At 55.6% G+C, this 17,510-nt stretch overlaps 1 protein-coding gene across 7 annotated transcripts in view, besides 2 other annotated features; it reads right to left on the reverse strand.

Moving 5' to 3' along the window:
* The window catches only part of PPP2R3B (protein phosphatase 2 regulatory subunit B''beta), a 52,975-nt gene that overhangs the window by 34,142 nt on the left and 1,323 nt on the right, over positions 1-17,510 (reverse strand). For 2 of the 7 annotated variants that reach the window (XM_047442728.1, XM_047442724.1), the window contains exon 1: positions 5,458-8,135. The exons of 4 other annotated variants lie outside the window; for them this stretch is intronic. In XM_047442728.1, coding sequence (XP_047298684.1) covers positions 5,458-5,697 — 240 coding nt within the window. In that variant the 5' untranslated portion in view covers positions 5,698-8,135. Of the gene's footprint in view, positions 1-5,457; positions 8,136-16,967; positions 17,032-17,510 lie in introns of those variants that run through there. One more of the 7 variants, XM_047442727.1, reaches the window with a different exon arrangement.
* Positions 4,899-5,081: a silencer, noted in NCBI's record as "fragment chrX:333708-333890 (GRCh37/hg19 assembly coordinates)". NCBI's record gives its function as "represses an EF-1alpha promoter that drives an FKBP-Casp9 reporter gene in an ReSE screen in K562 erythroleukemia cells {active_cell/tissue: K562}" and the evidence as "EXISTENCE:reporter gene assay evidence [ECO:0000049][PMID:32094911]".
* Positions 7,076-7,966: an enhancer, noted in NCBI's record as "H3K27ac-H3K4me1 hESC enhancer chrX:335885-336775 (GRCh37/hg19 assembly coordinates)". NCBI's record gives its function as "activates a minimal SCP1, AML or CMV promoter by ChIP-STARR-seq in primed H9 embryonic stem cells {active_cell/tissue: H9 hESC(primed)}" and the evidence as "EXISTENCE:reporter gene assay evidence [ECO:0000049][PMID:30033119]".

The following is a 17,510-nucleotide window of genomic DNA, read 5'->3' on the forward strand; positions in this document are numbered from 1 at the left end:
CCGCTAGGCAAGGCGGAGCCCACCCACCCCGGGCACAGACACAGGGAAGGCCGGGACCACCCACCCTGGGCACAGACACGGGGAAGGCCGGGACCACCCACCTTGGGCACTGACGGGGGGAAGGCCGGGATCACCCACCCCGGGCACTGACGGGGGGAAGGCCGGGACCACCCACCCCGGGCACAGACACGGGGAAGGCCGGGACCACCCACCTTGGGCACCGACGGGGGGAAGGCCGGGACCACCCACCTTGGGCACCGACACGGGGAAGGCCGGGACCACCCACCCCGGGCACCGACGGGGGGAAGGCCGGGACCACCCACCTTGGGCACCGACACGGGGAAGGCCGGGACCACCCACCCCGGGCACTGACGGGGGGGAAGGCCGGGACCACCCACCCCGGGCACCGACGGGGGGAAGGCCGGGACCACCCACCTTGGGCACCGACGGGGGGAAGGACGGGACCACCCACCCCGGGCACCGACGGGGGGAAGGCCGGGACCACCCACCCCGGGCACCGACCGGGGGAAGGCCGGGACCACCCACCCTGGGCACCGACGGGGGGAAGGCCGGGACCACCCACCCTGGGCACCGACCGGGGGAAGGCCGGGACCACCCACCCTGGGCACCGACGGGGGGAAGGCCGGGACCACCCACCTTGGGCACCGACGGGGGGAAGGCCGGGACCACCCACCTTGGGCACCGACACGGGGAAGGCCGGGACCACCCACCCCGGGCACTGACGGGGGGAAGGCCGGGACCACCCACCTTGGGCACCGACCGGGGGAAGGCCAGGACCACCCACCCTGGGCACCGACGGGGGGAAAGCCGGGACCACCCACCATGGGCACTAATAGACGAGAGATGGAACAAACAACACAACCACCCCATGCGGGCACAGAAGATTTACAAGCTTAATCTCATGGACAGAAATAGACTCGGCCCCAGCACAGCTGCAGAGCACACATTCTTTTCAACACACACAGCTCACTTGGGAACTGGCCACCTCTCGGGCTGAGCTGCAGGTCTCAGGGGGTTCTGAAGGAATCACAGGGACTGCTGCCCTGCCCCAAACGTAGCCGGTGAGGCCAGGCATCTACGGTAAACACAGAAGGAGCAAAAACAGCTGCATGTATGTGGAAGAAGAATTCTAAAGCCAGCCGCCTGTTCATTAAAAAGTTCAGACAAACCAGAGGGGCCTGTGGCGGCCAGGTCATCCACTTTAAATCCTCCTCAGTACGTGTACTTTAAAAAGAACTTCGTAAAGAGCCCGTCACCCAAAGCGCACTGATAAAGGCGACACCCTGACTCCCAACAAGCTATTTCTGTTGAGGGCACTGAGAAGGCAGCTCCCTGACTCATCACAATTCCAGAAGTCACAGATACATGTGTCGCCCTTCCAGAGTACACCCACAGTTTTGCAAAACACGTCCATATACGACCAAAAACAAAGGCTGAGCCTAACACTGAGGCTGCCTGTTTTTGCGTAGAAGTGCGTGCGCTTGATGGGTGCAGGTGAGTGTACCCCGAGAACACAGGCCACGTGCACCGTGACACATCCTCTCGCGACACCAGCCTCGGGCAGACCCCCGCATGTGCAGAGGGTGCGCACAGCAGGCAGGGCGCGGTGACCAGCAGAAATGACCCTCGCCCCCACGGCAGCAGGACCGGACACCACGATCAAAGCCACAGAGGAGGTGCCGGAGCAGCAGGGGGCCGGCGGAAGGGACGCTCAGTACGGGCTGCAACGCACAGCCGTGCCCCCAGGAGCCCCCGCTCTGCAGCGGCCCCCACTCTGCAGCGGGAGGCGGAAGCACGGGAGGCTGTGGTATGGAATCAGGGACGGGGGGTTTGGCCGGGACGCACACTCATGGATTCCAGCTGAGCCCCTCGCCCACCCAGATGACGGCCACCCCCTGGAAGGCAGGGCCTGCTGCAAGCTCTGAGCATTCTTCTCGGCCCAGCACTTGACTCCCAGGGACCCTCTGAGAGGGCTGGTAGAGGGCTGCCAGCTACACCTGCAAACCGCACGCTGGACGGCTAAACACAGGAGTCAAAAAGGTCGGTGTTTACACAGAGGAGCCGAACACGGAGATGAGAGGCCCCACGTGTGGGTTTAAAAATCCCCTCTCTAGCAAAGAGGGAGAACTGGTGTGGAGGGGTCAACACAGAAACGCAGCAGGTGCAGGTGTCTGAGTAGGCCAGAGCTCACGTGGGCTAACATTCACTCAGACACATGACTGCAGCCGAGCAACCGGGCCTCAACGGACGCTGAGAGACGTCGGCTGGGGCCTGCACCCACACCTGCAGCCCAGGCACTGGCGCCTGCAGCCACGGCTGCAGCGAGGCGTGAGTCTCCACAGAGCTCGGAAGGCTGGGCTGGGGGACGTGGGGATCATTCTGTCCACCAGCCAAGGGGTGACGGTGGATGCCGCGCAACACAGCGAGGGGAGGATCCGGCACCCTCCCTGCGTCCACAAGCCCCTGGCGGATGCTCCTGAGCTTGGTCTTCTGTGTGGACGTTCCCACCCGGGCTTCTGTTTCCCGTTAACCCCCCTTGCTGCAGCTCCCTGCCAGGTGGGGAACCCAAGCCCTGCCTTCTCCCTGCCACTGCCCAGGGAGTGGCATCCTGGGCAGCGTCCTGGCCAAACCAAAGGCTGCAAGGGTTTTGGTGACCACTGGCCTTGGGAGGGGAACGGCACGTGCCCTGGCGGTGAGAGCAGGAGGTGCGTCAGGGACGCCCAGAGCCCAGGCTGTCACCACGCTGAAGTCAGTTCCAAGTACAGCGGGGCTGCCGCGTAGGGGACGGCGCTTTCAGCCATGCGTGGTGCCGTGTAGGGTCTGTGCGTCCACCCGAAGGACCCCGTGGGGACGCCGGACAGTGTCTGTGTGACCAGGACAGGTGAAGAGGGGCGTCTGTGTGCTGAGTCAGTGTGTGGGGAGCGGGAGAGTCACTCCCCAGGCGGGGAGGGCCAGGCTAGGCAGCACAGCTGTCCTGGGCTGGGAACAAGGTCTGAGCTGTCCTGCTGTTGCCCGGGGACAGAAGGCCCGAGAATCCCTGGGCAGGAGGCGCAGGCAGTGGCTCCGGCAAGAAGAGCTCAGCCAAGCAGCTGCACGGCCCCACTCCAGGTACATGCTGGGTCCTACAGTGAGAGCATGAGCCGTGTAACACGCCATCGTCACACGGGAGCCTCCCCGGACCCACGGTGAGAGTACGTGTAACACGCCATCGTCACACGGGAGCCTCCCCGGACCCACGGCGTGAACGCATGCTGTTCCGTTCCCAAGGCCGGCGGTCGCTGAACGCCCCCACCCCCCGAGTTTGGTTTGTCAAGGATGCCGGTGACAGGGAAGTGGGCAGTGGCAGGGAGGAGGAGGAGCTTGGGTTCACCATCGGGGCAGGCAGCACCCGCCAGGGGGTTAGTGGGAACAGAAGCCCAGGTGGGACGTCGCACAGTCAGAAGATCAAGCTCAGGAGCACCCGCCAGGGGCTCGTGGGTGCGGCCAACGTTGGCCGTGGAAGGCTGTGCCCGTCAGAGGACCCCTGAAAACAGTACCGTGCTGCCCGGCCGGGAGCGTCCGAAGGCGGAGGTGCGGCACCCCAACACGTCCAGTGGCTCCAACACGGGTGCTCCCTGACAACCCTGAGGGTGTGTCCAAGTGGGGTGGACCCAACAGACAGAGCCCACACTCATGCGCGGAGTGAAAGCAGCCAGGAAACGTCCCCTTCTCCCCCAACACCACCCCCACAAATACCCCCAAATATGCCTGTAATTCCTCCACCACCCCTCAGACAACATGCATTTCACACGTCTGTCCTCACTCCCTAAAAACGTGGAAACCTATTTTCTGTAAAATGAAGCAAACTTCTGTAAACGGAATTCATGATTTCCCAGAAACTGACTTTTTAAAAATAAACAGTCCTCACAGGTGCATCGTCACCACAGCCCCCCACAGAAGAGCCAGGGCCCCACTGCAGGGCTGAAGGGCTTCCTCATCCAGCCACGTGCGAGCTAATCACCTCATTGACTCTGCGACCAGCGAGCCCGCACCGCCCAGCACCTCCCACCATCTAGAGCAAATCCCGCACGAGGCTGATCTCGCTCTTCGCAGGTTAAGAGGATTTTAAAGACACCAGCCTCGCCCTTACCCACTTACAGGCAAAATGTCAAAACCTGGAAGACAGAGGTCAAAAACTCCGAAGGAGTGCAAAAGTTGATGTGAGATCTTACAGAAAAAATTTCAATTAAAATATCAACAGAAAGAAGTGGGTCTTCCTCCCCCTTCAAGCAGGATGCCTTGGTTCACCTTGATGTTAGGCCACTAGTTCCAGACTCCTGGAACTGAGTTTGAAAAGCGCGTCTGATGTGCCACGTGGGTGTGAGGCGCCCGCCACGCACACCCTGTCTGGATGAAATTCGGATCAGATTCGGCCGCAGCCAAACCCTAAATTCTCAAATTATACTGGGATTGTCACAGGAAGACTCTTACACGTTTAAATCACATGGTACTCGTAAAACTAACTCATACAATATACACGGGGTACAGACACAAATTTTACTTCCCTGAGCACTTATGAGAACTGAGATTAAATTTCAAAGCCAGCTGGGGTGGAGGCTCACGCCCCTACTCCCAGCACTTTGGAAGGCCCAGGTGGGCGATCACCTGAGGTCAGGAGTTCAAGACCAGCCTGGCCAACATGGTGAAACCCCGTCCCTACTAAAAATGCAAAAATTAGCCCTACTCGGGAGGCTGAAGCAGGAAAATCACTTGAACCCAGGAGGTGGAGGTTGCAGTGAGCCGAGATAGCGCCGCTGCACTCCAGCCTGGGAAACAGAGAGGCTTCGTCTCAAATAAATAAATATAAATAAATAAATTTCAAAGCCACTGAGTTACTGAATAAAACCACGCTGCATAAATAGTCCGGTATGTGAGTGATATCTCAACCGACTCTTAAGTTAGCCAGTGGGAAGGAATGCTGGGTATTGCAATAACGCCGGGAAAGTTTCACCCACCCGACGCCTTTACGAAGGGTGAAGGAGTTTCCCGATGTTTATTACCAGCAATGCAAGGTATATTTAAATTAAAAATCTGTCTGCAGCGAACACTCCCAGGCGCTGACGGCTCTCACCCGCCTTGGTTGATCACAGCAAGGCGCGCACTCACAGCCAAAACTCCCGGGAAAGGAGCGAGTGCTCTTTTCAAAGCCCGGTTTTCCTAACAAGCTTGGCACCGCTTCCCACAGAGCAGCACCCGGTTTTCGGCGGCGTGCGGCCCGAGCGGGTCCCCTGCGCCCACAACTGGCCCTGTAAATCTGGCGTTTGGGCCCCGCCACGCAACAACGGGTGCACGGCCAGCAGCGGCGAGCGGGGGCCCACGCGGGGCCGGGAGGGCAGGGCTCGCCGGGCCGGGAGGCCTCGCCCGGTGTCGGGCAGCCGCGGGGCGCGCGGGGCTGACCTGCTGGAAGGCCTTCAGCCGCTTCTTGAACCGAGAGGGCAGCACGAAGTCGCAGCCGCGGGCCAGTGAGGCCAGCTCCTGGCGCAGGTCGGGGTCCTGGCGCAGCGAGCGCTCGCGGAGTCGCATGCCGCCGGCGCGCAGGGCTCTCCGCGGGCCGGGCCGGGCGCCGCGCTCTCGGGGCAGGGCCGGGCCGGGGCCGGCGGGGCGCTGCAGGCGTGGCCCGGGCTCAGCGCGCTCCATGCGTCGCCCGCCAGGCGCTCTGGGGCCGGGGCCCGCGCCGCGCGCATTCCTCAGGCTGAGGAGGGCGCATGGCGCCGGGGGTGGGGGCGGCCGCCTCTCCCGACCCGCGACTGTGCAGACCCGGCTGCTCCCGGCGCTGCTCTCCTCTCCTCCTTCTCCGCTCCCTGCACTGCCCTCCGCTCCCTCCGGTCCTCTTCTCTCCTCTCCCCGTTCGCTCCGGGCTGGGCCGTCCGGCCGGGCAAGGGGGCGCTTTCTGCACCGCGGCAGCCGTCACGTGGCTCGCCCTGGAGCGCGCATCAACAGGTCCCCGAGAGGAGAGCCTGGGCGGAACGCGCATCAACAGGTCCCCGAGAGGAGAGCCTGGGCGGAACGCGCATCAACAGGTCCCCGAGAAGAGAGCCTGGGGACGGCCTCGGGGACCCAGGCGAAGGCGCTCCCCGCGAGAAGTGAGGTCCCCCCCCTCCACGACAACACCAGAGCTGGCTGCAGGCTCGGTGCCGACTCCGGCTTGCCCCTCCAGAGCACAGGGCACGCCAGGTGCAGCTGCGCCTCCACAAACACGCACGGCAGCCCAGACATCCCGGCAGCCCGGCATCAAAGCGCGCCGGCATCTCCGCCCCTCCCCAAACTTCAGGAGTTTCTAGAATACAGCTAAGCTGCAGTGGGCATCCAGGATCTCGTCTTCTCTGCCACTGCTCACTGTGATAACTGCGCTTGTTTGCAATCGTATTTAGAACAAGAAAAGAGGGGCGGTGGAAAAGGGGGACGGGCAACTTTAAATGAGGGTGAGCTGACATTCCGGGGGCCTGCACCTCGATCCCACCGGGAAGGAGACAGGATACCTTCGGGCTGAGGGTCAGAAACTGGCCACATCCCTGCCAGGCTGAACGCTGTCAGCAGAAAGCCTCCCGGGTCCCCGATCAGGAAGGTCCTGCGTGACCGCCTGCATCTGTTACAGTCAATAAACCTCCTTGGACGGGTCACTATCACCCCGAGTCAACAGCGTGCACTGGGCTCTCCCGCTGCCGCACGCTCTGTTGAGTCTGGAAAAACGCAGGATGACACGGATCTACCACTGTGGGGTCACGCAGAGGAGTTTCCCTGCCCTGAAAAACGTCTGTGTGGCACTGACGCACCCAACCCCCGCAAGCCCCGATCTGTTTCCTGTCTCCATCGTTTTCCTTTTTCCGAGTGTCCTAGACTTGGAACCAGAAGTCTGCAGCCATCTCAGACTGGCCTTTTCTTCTCCTGCAACCTTCCACACCACCTCTGACGCCCACCACAGCCCCCCACCCGCAAGGCCCCTTCCAACTCTTCTTAGGGGTACGCCCCTCTCCACTTCCTTCTCTTCCACCTCCTTCCCTTCTCCAGCCATCCTCGGATCCCTCCATCCTTCTCACTTCCTTACTGTCCTTGAGGATTCAGAAGTCGGCCTCTGACCCCCGGTAAGTCTCCAAAGGGAAGCTTTAAGACAGCACCAGAGGGAATGTGCTCAAACCACCAGGAGACGATTTAAACAAGTGCACCCAGTAACCCACGATGCGGGGCGCAAACTCACAGGGCAGAGGTGCCGCCCAGTCACCCACGATGCGGGGCGCAAACTCACAGGGCAGAGGTGCTGCCCAGTCACCCACGATGCAGGATGCAAACTCACAGGGCAGAGGTGCCGCCCAGTCACCCACGATGCAGGATGCAAACTCACAGGGCAGAGGTGCGGCCCAGTAACCCATGATGTGGGGCACAAACTCACAGGGCAGAGGTGCCGTCCCGTCACCCACGATGCGGGGCGCAAACTCACAGGACAGAGGTGCCGCCCAGTCACCCACGATGTGGGGCGCAAACTCACAGGGCAGAGGTGCCGCCCCTTCAGTTCATATCAGCACTACACACGGACGGCCTCCCAAACGCAGCTAGGGGAACCAGATTGGGAGCCAACCTCCTGTGATCTCCCTCCGAAAGTCAAAGATCAAACCCAAAATGCGGGGGAAGCGAGCCAACGGGCGCGATCCTCACACTCAGGCAACATGCCCTGTCCTGCCACGCCAGGTGACACACGCCCTGTCCTGCCACGGCGGGTGACACACACCCCTGTGGACTTTACTGCCAGGTTTCCTCTTTCCGTACAAGACTTTTGGAACACAGCCAGGCACAGTGGCTCATGCCTGTAATCCCAGCACTTTGGGAGGTCAAGGCAGGCAGATCATGAGGTCAGGAGTTCGAGACCAGCCAGGCCAACATGGTGAAACCCTGTCTCTACTAAAAATACAAAATTAGCTGGGCATGGTGGCGGGTGCCTGTCATCCCAGCTACTTGGGAGGCTGAGGGAGAAGAATCGCTTGAACTCAGAAGGCAGAGGTTGCAGTGAGCCGAGATTGCGCCACTGCACTGCAGCCTGGGGGACAAGAGCGAGACTTCGTCTCAAAAAGGAAAAAAAAAAAAAAAAGACTTTTGGAAAACAGCCTCAAAATCCTGAAGTGCACACATAGGCAGAGATTTAGACTCTGACCTGGAGCCCTCGAACCACCTCTGGATGCAGTCCCACTGCCCCCCTGGAGCCCTTGCGTCCTGTCCCGATGCAGAACCCGCACCACCCGCCCCCAGTGCAGCCACAGGGCTGTCTACACCGGATGGGGGAGGGACAGGGCTGTCCACACTCGACAGAGCCCCCATGGGGCCATCCACTACCGTGTACAGGGACGGGCCGTCCACAGTGGGGCCGCCATGGGGCTGTCTATACACTACTGTATGCAGGGACGGGCCGTCCACACCCAGTGGGGCCGCCATGGGGCTGTCTATACACTACTGTATGCAGGGACGGGCCGTCCACACCCAGTGGGGCCGCCATGGGGCTGTCTATACACTACTGTATGCAGGGACGGGCCATCCACACCCAGTGGGGCCACCATGGGGCTGTCTATACACTACTGTGTACAGGGACGGGCCGTCCACACCCAGTGGGGCCACCATGGGGCTGTCTATACACTACTGTGTACAGGGACGGGCCGTCCACAGTGGGGCCGCCATGGGGCTGTCTATACACTACTGTATACAGGGACGGGCCGTCCACAGTGGGGCCGCCATGGGGCTGTCTATACACTACTGTATGCAGGGACGGGCCGTCCACACCCAGTGGGGCCGCCATGGGGCTGTCTATACACTACTGTATGCAGGGACGGGCCGTCCACACCCAGTGGGGCCGCCATGGGGCTGTCTATACACTACTGTATGCAGGGACGGGCCGTCCACACCCAGTGGGGCCGCCATGGGGCTGTCTATACACTACTGTGTACAGGGACGGGCCGTCCACACCCAGTGGGGCCACCATGGGGCTGTCTATACACTACTGTATGCAGGGACGGGCCGTCCACAGTGGGGCCGCCATGGGGCTGTCTATACACTACTGTGTACAGGGACGGGCCGTCCACACCCAGTGGGGCCACCATGGGGCTGTCTATACACTACTGTATGCAGGGACGGGCCGTCCACAGTGGGGCCGCCATGGGGCTGTCTATACACTACTGTGTACAGGGACGGGCCGTCCACACCCAGTGGGGCCGCCATGGGGCTGTCTATACACTACTGTATGCAGGGACGGGCCGTCCACAGTGGGGCCGCCATGGGGCTGTCTATACACTACTGTGTACAGGGACGGGCCGTCCACACCCAGTGGGGCCACCATGGGGCTGTCTATACACTACTGTGTACAGGGACGGGCCGTCCACAGTGGGGCCGCCATGGGGCTGTCTATACACTACTGTGTACAGGGACGGGCCGTCCACACCCAGTGGGGCCACCATGGGGCTGTCTATACACTACTGTGTACAGGGACGGGCCGTCTACAGTGGGGCCGCCATGGGGCTGTCTATACACTACTGTATGCAGGGACGGGCCGTCCACACCCAGTGGGGCCGCCATGGGGCTGTCTATACACTACTGTGTACAGGGACGGGCCGTCCACACCCAGTGGGGCCACCATGGGGCTGTCTATACACTACTGTGTACAGGGACGGGCCGTCCACACCCAGTGGGGCCACCATGGGGCTGTCTATACACTACTGTATGCAGGGACGGGCCGTCCACACCCAGTGGGTCCGCCGTGGGGCTGTCTATACACTACTGTGTACAGGGACGGGCCATCCACACCCAGTGGGGCCACCATGGGGCTGTCTATACACTACTGTATGCAGGGACGGGCCGTCTACAGTGGGGCCGCCATGGGGCTGTCTATACACTACTGTGTACAGGGACGGGCCGTCCACACTTGACAGGACCACCACAGGGCTGTCTATACACTACTGTGTACAGGGACGGGGCCGTCATAGCATTGTTTTTGCACCACAGGCCAGCACGGAATCTGCGAGGCCTGTTTTCAGCCTGTTCCCCCCAAATTCCTACTCTGAAGAGACAACATTGCCATCTGGGCCGATGAAGCCCCTCACGGCACCCGAATCTCCACCGTCCCTCTGCTGTCGGGACACAATCTTACCATCAACCTCTAAAGGCTCCTAAAATGCCCAGAAGACCTTTATGCAAAATTTTCATAAAAATCTCTTCACTTTTCATTCTCACTAAACATACATTTGTTCAGACGGCTTGTTTTAGGATAAAAATGTGTCTTCCATGAGCAAACATAATGGCTTTTCTGAAATCCCAGATTTGAAAGGCTTACGAAGGCGACCTGCCCTTTGTGAGAAAAAGTTTTTCTGAACATCCAAAGCTAAAAGCATAGCTAGTAACAGGCAAGCCTATGAGACAGGAAGATGGCCCAGAATCCTGTCCTCACCCTGCAGGTGCCGTCTGCAGAGCACGGCTTCCTCCCTGTTTCAAAGGCCCTGAGAGGACAGGCTCCAGCGGATTCAAAACCCGTCCACCTCATCTCAGGAAACGGCATGGTTCTCTCTGTCAACAGAAGGGGAGGGAGGGATGAAGCTCTTTACACAGTTTCCATGGTTGCAGATTCTCGGAGGTTGCAAGAAGGGTTTTCGACACCTTCCTTCCTCCTCACAACGAGACTCTCATCGGTGCCCACTATGAAAACGTGAATAGGTCGTTGTTACGAAGGCAGTGAGAACTGAACGCAGACAGGCACGCACCTGTACAAAAGCTACAGTCCCTGGGCAAGCTCAAGGCTCCCGCACGAAACCTTCAGAAACCCTGAGCTCCTGCCCTGAGGGTTCTAGGTGCTTTTGTCTTACAACATGTTTGTTAAGAACTTCTAATGAAACGTTAAGATAACCACACCTGTATGTACATGCACCTGTGTGTGTGTATGCACCTGTGTGTTTGTGTGTATGCACCTGTGTGTGTGTATGCACCTACGTGTGTGTGTATGCACCTGTGTGTGCACCTGTGTGTATGCACCTATGTGTGTGTATGCACCTATGTGTGCATGTACCTGTGTGTATGGACCTATGTATGTGTGTATGCGTGTGTATGCACCTGTGTATGCACCTGTGTGTATGCACCTATGTGTGTGTGTGTGTATGGACCTATGTATGTGTATGCACCTGTGTGTATGTATCTGTGTGTATGGACCTATGTATGTGTGTATGCGTGTGTATGCACCTGTTATGCACCTGTGTGTATGCACCTATGTGTGTATGTACCTGTGTATGCACCTATGTGTGTATGCACCTATGTGTGTATGCACCTGTGTTTGTGCATATGCACCTGTGTGTGTGTATGCACCTGTGTGTTTGTGTGTATGCACCTGTGTGTGTGATGCACACGCACGCCCGTGTTTATCTCCAAATACCCTGTTCTAATGTTCTAGAATGCTGGCACCCGGTCTGATAAAAATCACAGGTTAGGTGGACACCAAAACTGAGTAGCTTCCAGAAATTAGAGAAGAACTAAATAAACAGATAGAAACTTAATCAAGGAGGTGCAAGAGGTGTACCCGGGGAAGTACACAACGTTGCTGAACAAAACCTAAATGAATGGAAAGTCCTTTGTTTGTGGATTGGAAAATACTGTTAAGGTATCAATTATCCTAAATTGATCCACAGATTCAAAGCAATCCCAATCAAAATTCCAACAGGCTTTTCTTGCTGGAAAGCAATTTTTAAAGAACAGGCTTGGACTCACAGTATCTGCTTTCAAAATTTGCTAGAAAGTTACACTAATCTGGAAAGTGCCATGAAGGTGAGGGGATGCACATACAGCAATGGGATGGAAATAATAATAAAACAGACGTACGTACTCAACTGACTTTCAACAACACAATTCCACGGGGGGAGAAAAGACTGTTCAATATACGGTGCTGGGGTCATCCAGATACCTCACCTCATACCACGCAGAAAAACTGACCTGAACTGGATCACAGGCCGAAACGCAAACCTAAAACCACACTGCTTTCTCAAGATAAATAGGAGAAAATATTTGACACCTTGTGGTATGCAAACATTTTGTAATAAGACACAAAAAATAAGAGTCATAAAAGAAAAAAGTTGAAAAACTAAACACTTTTGCTCTTTGAGACACTGAAGAAAACAAAAAGCAAGCCAGACTCAAGAGACATATGCACACACCACATTGTCTTACCAAGGACTTGCCAACAGTTGTATGTAAAGAGCTCTCGCAACTCAGTGATAACATAACCCAATTTAAAAAGCAAACACACGACCTGAACAGACGCTCGACAGTGGGAACCACATGAATGGCAAATAAGCACCTGAAAATTCCTCGGCGTCACCAGGCCGCAGGGAAATGCAATCAAAATCGTGCAGTACTGGCCGGGTGTGGTTGCCCTCGTCTGTCATCCCAGCACTCTGGGAGGCTGGGGCGGGTGGATCACCTGAGGTCAGGAGTTCAAGACCAGCCTGACCAACATAGTGAAACCCCATCTCTACTAAAAATACAAAACTAGCCGGGCGTGGTGGCGGGTGCCTGTAATCCCAGCTACTCGGGAGGCTGAGGCAGGAGACTCACTTGAACTGCAGGAGGTGGAGGTTGTAGTGAGCCGAAATTGCGTCATTGCACTGCAGCCTGGGCAACAAGAGTGAAACTCCATCTCAAAAAAAAAAAAAAAAAAAAAAAAAGCAGCTCATCCACATGAGGTTCTTAATTCCCCTTGTAAGAACTTACTTTAAAGATGCATTTAGGGTCCCCCCTAGCAGAAGCACCCTGGCTTGCAGCATCAGCCCATCGATACTGGCGTTTTCTTTCTTTTTTTTTTTTTTAGAGACAGAGTCTCACTTTGTTGCCCCGGCGGGAGTGCACTGGCACAAACATAGCTCACTGCAGCCTCGAACTCCTGGGATCTTCCTGCCTCAGCCTCACAAGCAGCTGAGACTTCAGGCATGAACCACCATGCCTGGCTGATTTTACTATTTTACAGAGATGGGGGAGTCTCGCTATGTTGCCCAGGCTGGGCTCAAACTCCTGGCCTCAAGGGATCCTCCCTCCTTGGCCTCCCAAAGTGCTGGGATTGAGCCACTGCACCCGGCCAATGCTCACATTTTCTAATTTGTACCAGTTTCTCTTCCCCAAAGACGGGAAGGAGCCACTGCAAGCACCCCTTTCAAACACAGAATGCAATCTCTCTGCTCAGTAACGATGAAGGCGTAGGTAACGTAAAACAATGCCGTTCCTTTCACCCTTGGCTGGGGAGTTCAATGGACCTAGCGTGAACCCTCCTGACAGCTCATACTCCATTCTGTACATGTGTGGGTGAGAAAAAGCTGCTTTATTTATGAAAATCTCTTCCTCTGACCCCAGCATCGCCCCTCCCCAGCCAGAGTTTGTAGCATGGAACTGCATCCTTCACTGTTAACGTGGCCTCGCGTATTCTGTATATGGGATGGACAGGAACAAGCTCATCTTTTTTTTTTTTTTTTTTTTTTTGAGACAGAGTCTTGCTCTGTCACCCAGGCTGGAGTGCAGTGGCGCGATCTCAGCTCACTGCAAGCTCTGCCACCCAGGTTCATGCCATTCTCCTGCCTCAGCCTCCGGAGTAGCTGGGACTACAGGCACCCGCCACCACGCCCGGCTAATTTTCTGTATCTTTAGTAGAGACAGGGTTTCACTGTGTTAGCCAAGATGGTCTCTATCTCCTGACCTTGTGATCCGCCCGCCTCGGCCTCCCAAAGTGCTGGGATCACAGGCATGAGCCACCGTGCCCAGCCCAAGCTCATCTTTTTTGTCCCAATGAACAGACACATCTTTCTAAGTTATTCACTTCTTGAGATTCAGCTGAAGTAAGCCATAGGTTCCAAACACGTAGACATGTTTAAGGTAAACTTTTAGTCCCAAACAAGGTCAGTCACTGCTTTTTGAAAATTCTTGCCATCTCCTAAGTGCAGAATCCTGCACCCTGCACACCCTGGCCGCCATGCCCACGGTCCACACGCATCCTTCCTTCTGCTTCTCCGGTCAGACCACTCCAGTCCCTCAACGTGACCTGAACATCTCATCTTTTTTTTTCTTTTTTTTTTTTTTTTGAGACAGAGTGTCTCACTCTTGTCACCCAGGCTGGAGTGCAGTGGCACAATTTCAGCTCACTGCAATCTCCGCCTCCCAGGTTCAAGTGATTCTCCTGCCTCAGCCTCCAGAGTAGCTGGGATTACAGGTGCCCACCACCACACCCAGCTAATTTTTGTATTTTTAGTAGAGACAGGGTTTCACCATGTTGGCCAGGTTGATCTCGAACTCCTGACCTCAGGTGATCCGTCCACCTCAGCCTCCCAAAGTGCTAGGAATTCAGGTGTGAGCGACTGAGCCTGGTCTCATTTTCACCGCCTCCCTTGGTCCTGCCCCCTATACCCAATAAACTCAGTGCATTTCTCAAGTTCCACTACTCACTTCCTCCTCAAAACTTTCTCCAGGAGAGAAATGATGTCTCCCTGCTTTGAACACCTTTGGAACTTAATTTCCACTTGTTAGAGGCTTCTTGCCTGATTTACAGAATATATCATCCTCTCACATGCACCCAAATGGCCTCGTTTGCACAGACCTGACCTTCCGTCAATATTCCCAGCCCTAGGAGAATTCATGCAAAGTCACAATAGTCCCAGCCCTAGGAGAATTCTTGCAAAGTCACACAATTCAAGCATTTACCTTAGCGTCTGGCTGTCATTCAACACGTTTAAGGACAAAATGGCAGCTCATTAGCGATCCCACTGAGAAAGCAAGTCATGGAGGGGAACCATCATTACTAGCACATGCTTCTTGAGTCCTGGCCCTCCTCTCAACCTCCTCAGTAAATGAGGGATTTGGGCAAGAGTTCCTAAGGTGCTTCAGGTTTTGCAGCTCACTGGGAAAGTGCACTGGGCCGGAGCTCAAGAGATGCGTCCTGGGGCCCTGAGTCCCCTCCTGGATCGGGATCTGGAGGGCCTGAGCCAGACGGTCTCCAAGCTGCCTCTAGCTCTAGTTCACATTTTCATCGACACGTACTTTTGGAAAATGTTCTAGATCCATCAGAAGACATCGGACAACCACCGGTAATTTAGAACGCAAGGAGCTCACCTCAGATTGCCACCCACCTCTCACTCAGCAAGTAGAGAGGCTGGTCCATTTTGGCTGGAAAACTGTGGTGCTACGTAAATATCACTTTGTGACATGCTTATTAGTGCTGCTGATGGAAAGCTGGTGTTCAGCTGAAAATTTTCAAATGGTATAAACAAGTTCCGACGGAACATTCTGAATATTTCAGGCTTCCGTAGTATTCTCGGGACACCAGACGCACCAGCCATACGTGTTTCTATAACATCTGGAAGCAATGTTTTATCGCTTTAAACTGCATAGTATAAAACGACAGAAAGCATTTTTAAAAATACACGGCTGTCGGCGGGCACGGTGGCTCACACCTGTAATCCCAAAACTTTGGGAGGCCGAGGCGGGCGGATCACGAGGTCAGGAGATCAAGACCATCCCGGCTAACACGGTGAAACCCCGTCTCTACTAAAAATACAAAAAAATTAGCCGGGCGTGGTGGCGGGCGCCTGTAGTCCCAGCTACTTGGGAGGCTGAGGCAGGAGAATGGCGTGAACCCGGGAGGCGGAGCTTGCAGTGAGCCGAGATCGCGCCACTGCACTCCAGCCTGGGGGACAGAGCGAGACTCCGTCTCAAAAAAAAAAAAAAAAAAAAAAAAAAAAAACCAAAAAAACAAAAAAACAACTAAGTTCCCAGTCATGACTGGATGGGAGTTTGGACACACCTTATTATACCCCTCCTGCTTTGGCAGTTTAAACACAACCAACCAGCAAAAAGGTTAAAATCAACATCGTAAGACTGACAGAACAGACTCTGTGGCAAACAAGACCAAGGGCCACCTGAGGTGAGGGTTAAGTCACACACCGCCTACACTTAAAGAATAAACTACAGTTCCAACTGCCAAAGCATTTCTTTTTCTCCAGCAGCTAAATGTCCTTTTAGGTTATTCACTAGAGACCTCTGCAGAAACTCGTTTTTGAGATTCAAGAAGTAAATAAAGGATGTTTTTCTTTTTCTCTATTGCTTATCTTGGCCTCAAGCTCGCGCACGCAAGAAGACTCTCTCTCTCTCTCTCTCTCTATATATATATATATACTTTTTTTTTTTTTTTGAGACAGGGCCTTCCTCTGTTGCTCAGGCTGGTGAGCAGTGGTGCAATCTCAGCTCACAGTAATCTCCGACTCCCAGCTTCAAGCATTTCTCCTGCCTCAGCCTCCTGAGTAGCTGAGACTTCAGGTGCGCCACCACGCCTGGCTAATTTGTGTATTTTTAGCAGAGATGGGGTTTCGCCATGTTGCCCAGGCTGGTCTCGAACTCCTGAACTCAAGTGATCTGCCTGCCTCCAACTCCCAAATGCTGGAATCACAGGCGTGAGTCACCATGCCTGACCAATATAAACAATATTAAAACACCTGCAGCTTCCTGTCAGATCCTGATGAACAGACCCCTCTGTTCCACCAGCCGTAACTACAGCTTTGACTGGGAAAAGACTGATTCCAGGCCAGGTGTGGTGGCTCACGCCTGTCATCCCAGCACTTTGAGAGGCTGAGGCGGGTGGATCACCTGAGGTCAGGAGTTTGAGACCAGTCTAGCCAACAAGGTGAAAGCCTGCCTCTACTAAAAATACAAAAATTAGCCGGGGGTGGTGGTGTGCGCCTGTAATCACAGCTACTCGGGAGGCTGAGGGAGGAGAATCGCTTGAACCCGGGAGGCGGAGGTTGCAGTGAGCTGAGATTGCACCATTGCATCTCAGCCTGGGTGAGAGTGAGAATCTGTCTCAAAAAAAAAAAAAAAAAAAAAAAACTGATTGCAATCACTTTATCCTGGTAACTACTCACCACGGACTGGTTCTGGCCGGTTGACAGAGGCTGCAGAGTTGCTTCACCTTTTGACCTAGGGGGCCTAACCATAATGCATTTAAATGTTAAGTCTCCGCTCCAAGGTGAACTCGGGAGTAGGTAACATGCATGTTTGTTCAATACCCATGCGTCAGGACACCCTTGGTGAATATCCATAGCTCTTCCTATAACTTCTTGAATATATACACTTGGCCAACCCACTCAGCATAAATTCCCGTCTCATCTTTTCTTCCCTCCAAGTGCTTGTTTTTAGTTTTCTTTTTTTTTTTTTTTTTTTTTTTTTTGAGATGGAGTCTTGCTCTGGTGCCCAGGCTGGAGTGCAGCCTCTGCCTCCTGGGTTCCAGTGATTCTCCTGCCTCAGCCTCCCGGGTAGCTGAGATTACAGGTACATTAGCCAGAGGCTGCGCTTCTCACCTGCGGTGTATAATCACCTTCTATGAAATAAATGGCGTTTCTTCTAAGAAATACAGTGGGATTTTGGGAGGCCGAAGCGGGAGGATTGCTTGGACCCAGGAATTCCAG

This window comes from Homo sapiens, chromosome Y (genome assembly GCF_000001405.40).
Source record: "Homo sapiens chromosome Y, GRCh38.p14 Primary Assembly".
NCBI classification, from domain to species: domain Eukaryota; kingdom Metazoa; phylum Chordata; class Mammalia; order Primates; family Hominidae; genus Homo; species Homo sapiens.